Source organism: Homo sapiens, chromosome 6, assembly GCF_000001405.40.
Source record: "Homo sapiens chromosome 6, GRCh38.p14 Primary Assembly".
Classification (NCBI taxonomy): domain Eukaryota; kingdom Metazoa; phylum Chordata; class Mammalia; order Primates; family Hominidae; genus Homo; species Homo sapiens.
In genome coordinates, this window is record NC_000006.12 from 50,256,753 (window position 1) to 50,260,885 (window position 4,133).

The 4,133-nt window shown below is 44.4% G+C and overlaps 1 annotated feature.

Annotated features, from left to right (window-relative positions):
* Window positions 457-1,063: an enhancer, noted in NCBI's record as "OCT4-NANOG hESC enhancer chr6:50224922-50225528 (GRCh37/hg19 assembly coordinates)". NCBI's record gives its function as "activates a minimal SCP1, AML or CMV promoter by ChIP-STARR-seq in naive H9 embryonic stem cells {active_cell/tissue: H9 hESC(naive)}" and the evidence as "EXISTENCE:reporter gene assay evidence [ECO:0000049][PMID:30033119]".

The window sequence follows — 4,133 nt, forward strand, 5'->3', positions numbered from 1 at the left end:
TTTTAATGAGATTGATTCTTCCTATCAATGAGCATAAAATATTTTTCCATTTATTTGTGTCACCTTTGATTTATTTTAGCAGTGTTTTGTAGATCTCTTTGTAGAGATCTTTCACCTCCTTGGTTAGCTGTATTCCTAGGTATTTTGTTCTTTTTGTGGCAATTGTGAATGGGATTGCATTCTTGATTTGCTCTTGGCTTGGCTGTTGTTGGTTTATAGCAGGGGTACTGAACCCCTGGGCCATGTACTGGTTCGTGGCCTGTTAGCAACCGGGCCACACGGCAGGAGATGAGCAGCAGGTGAGCAAGTACTACCACCTGCTTCGCCACCTTTCAGATCAACAGCAGCATTAGATTCTCATAGGAGTGCAAATCCCATCGTGAACTATGCATGCAAGGGATCCCAGTTGCATGCTCCTTATGAGAATCTAATGCCTGATGATCTGGGGTGCAACAGTTTCATCCCAAAACCTTTCCCCACTCTCTGCCACTCGTCCATGGAAAAATAGTCTTCCGTGAAACCATTCTCTGGTGCCAAAAAGGTTAGGGACTGCTGGTTTATAGGAATGCAAGTGATTTTTGTGTATTAATTTTTTATCCTGAAACATTGCTGAAGTAATTTATCAGCTTGAGGAGCTTTTCGGTTGAGACTATGAGGTTTTTTAGATATGGAATCATGTCATCTGCAAACAGCAATAGTTAGACTTTCTCTCTTTTCTTTCTATTTGGATGCCCTTTGTTTCTTTGTCTTGCCTGATTGCTCTGGCCAGGACTCCCATTATTATGTTGAATAGGCATGGTGAGAGAGGGCATCCTTGTCTTGGGCCTGTTTTTAAGGGGAATGCTTACAGCTTTTGCCCATTTAGTATGACTTTGGCTGTGGATTTTTTATACATGGCTCTTATAATTTTGAGGTATGTTTCTTCAGTTCATTGAGAGTTTTTAACATGAAGGATGTTGAATTTTATCAAAAGCCTTTTATGCATTAATTGAGATAATCATGTTTTTTGTCTTTAGTTCTGTTTATGTGATTAATCACATTTATTGATTTGCATTTGTTGAAACAACCTTGCATCCCAGGGATAATGCCTACTTGATATTGTTGGATATACTTTTTAATGTGCTGCTAGATTTTGTTTGCCAGTATTTTCTTGAGGATTTTTCCTCGATTTTCATCAAGGATATTGGCTTGAAGTTTTCTTTTATTGTTGTATCTCTGCCAGGTTTTAGTATCAGGATGATGCTGGTCTCATAGAACGAGTTAGGAAGGACTCCCTCCTCCTTAATTTTTTGAAATAGTTTCAATAAGAATGGTACCAGCTCTTCTCTGTACCTCTGGAAGAATTTGGCCGTGATTCTATCTGGTCCTGGGTTTTTATTTTTTATTGGTATGCTATTTATTACTGATTCATTTTTGGAGCTTGTTATTGGTCTGTTCAGGGATTCAGTTTCATCTTGGCTCAGTCTTGGGAAAGTGTATGAGATAAGGAATGTATCCATTTCTTCTATATTTTCTAGTTTGTGTGCATAGAGGTGTTCATAATATTCTCTGATGGTTATTTGTAATTCTGTGGGGTCAGTGGTCAGATACCCTTTTGTCATCTCTGATTGTGTTTACTTGCATCTTCTCTCTTTTCTTATTAGTTTAGCTAGTGATTTATTGTATTAGTTTTTTCAAAAAACCAACTCTTGGAGAATCTGATGATTATGCGTCTTGGGGATGATCTTGTGAAATATCTTACTGTGGTCCCCTGTGTTTTCTGAATTTGAATGTTGGCCTCTCTAGCTAGGTTGGGGAAGTCCTCATGGATGATATCCTCAAGTATGTTCTCCGAGTTGCTTACACTATTCCTGTCTCTTTCAGGGGCACCAGTCGGTCATAGATTTGATCTCTTTACATAATCCCATATTTCCCAGAAGTTTTGTTCATTCTTTTTAATCTGCTCTTGTCTAAATGTCTTATTTCAGACAGCCAGTCTTCAAGCTGTTAGATTCTTTCCTCCACTTGGTCCATTCTGCTATTAATACTTGTGAGTGTATTACGAAATTCTTGTAGTGTGTTTTTCAGTTCTATCAGGTTGGTTACATTCTTTTCTATACTGACTATTTTGTCTGTCATCTCCTGCATCGTTTTATTATGATTATTAGCTTCTTTGGATTGGGTTTCAATGTACTCCTGCATCTCAATTATCTTCATTCCTATCCATTTTCTGAATTCTATTTTTGTCATTTCAGTCATCTCAGCCCAATCTAAAACCCTTTCTGCAGAGGTAGCATAGGGGAGAAAAGATAGCACTCTGGCTTCTTGAATTGTCAGAGATCTTTTGCTGGTTCTTTCTCATGTCTGTGAACTGATATTTCTTCAATCTTTAAAGTTGCTGGGCCAGGCATGGTGGCTCACACCTGTAACCCCAGCACTTTGGGAGATCGAGGCAGGAGGATCATGAGGTCAGGAGATCGAGACCATCCTGGCTAATATGGTGAAACCTTGTCTTTACTAAAAATACAAAAAATTAGCCGGGCATGGTGAGGGGTCTCCTGTAGTCCCAGCTACTCGGGAGGCTGAGCTGAGGCAGGAGAATGGCGTGAACCCAGTGGAGCTTTCAGTAAGCCGAGATCGCACCACTGCACTCCAATCTGGGTGACAGAGCAAGACTCTGCGTCAAAAAAAAAAAAAAATGTTGCTGACATTTGGATTTTTTTTCTTTTATTCTATTTGATGACCTTGAGGATTTGATTGTAGTATAACAAAGGTTCAGCCAACTGGCTTCATTTCTGGAAGATTTTAGAATGCCAGCACTCAGCTACCACCTCCTGGACTGTATGCTTTAACTCTGGGGGACTTGTATCAGGGCTCAATTTTGTTCTCTGGCTCCTCGAGGAATCCTCTGTGCTGGTGGAGGAAGTGGGGAGTGAGGTGCTCCTGGACTACTGGTCACTACACTCTGATGGGTAGTGTCAGCCAAAATGTTTCGTAGTGCTGCGACAGTGGGATCCATCTTCACTGGCACATGTCACCAGCAGCATCAGTGGCAGCACAGCAGGGTGCATGCTCATCGAATGTGGCAGGGTGCTAGTGATTGGTGGGGTGCCTGCCTCTGTGTGGATGTTCACCACAGAGGTCCAGGCAGCATGGCTTGGGTGGTAGTGGGGGACCCAGCTGGCAACTATGCATGTGGACATGCTGATGTTAGCGTGGGAGTGGAGTGCTGGCATGTGCAGGACTTTGTGCCACAGGCAGGGGAGTTCACTCAGGGTGAGGAGGATCCACTGTTCTCTGTACCTAGTTTCACTCCTGTGACAGTGTTCATGCAAGGGCAGGGTGCTGGTGGGGGTCTGGCTGGCTGTCTCTGTGTGTGCCAAGGCTCTAACTGCAATGGTGATATGGCAGGGGGGATAGGGACAGAGTGCACCTCCACCAGAGCAGTGGTAGGGTACGGTGTATGCACACATGAGCACTGGTGGGGCAGAGAAGGCTATTACACACACACCACCACCACCAAAGGGAAGGCTATACCACACTCACATACCAGCACACACATGCCAGCAAAGCAATGTAGAGGGTGTCCATGGGCCTGGGGTAGGGTGCAGTGAGGGGAGAGAGTTGGTGGGTTGGTGCATGGCCATGGGGCCCACTCTGCTGGACCTCTCCACTAGTCAGGTAGGGTTCCCCAGTGCAAGAGCTGTGATGTGGATCCCCAGGGCACCCAAGGCTGCTCTGCAGGCAGGCACAGCTAGACTAGGACCCTGGGACAGGCCAGCAGACTGAGGGGTGCTCAGGTCTGGCTGGCCCAGTCTGATGGGCAATATTGCCCAGTAGAATTCAGGTCCAACATTTCTCCTAGGGCTAAAGTCTCCTATGGGAGTAAGCTGAACCTAGGTAGATGGACATCCCTGGTCAGACTTCACTAACGATGCTGTCACATCAAACCCTCTGGTCTTCACATCAGCTGGTGTGCTGCCCCTACCACTTCACTAAGCAGCTCTCCCTGTCATCTTGAGTGTTTGTGGTGGTTGAGGGGTATCTTCGTGCCCACATTCATAGGCCCATGGCCAGAAGAGATTGCTCCTTACCATTTCAACTCACCCATTACCTCAGAATCACTGGGGGCCAGGAAACAGTCCTGGTATGTT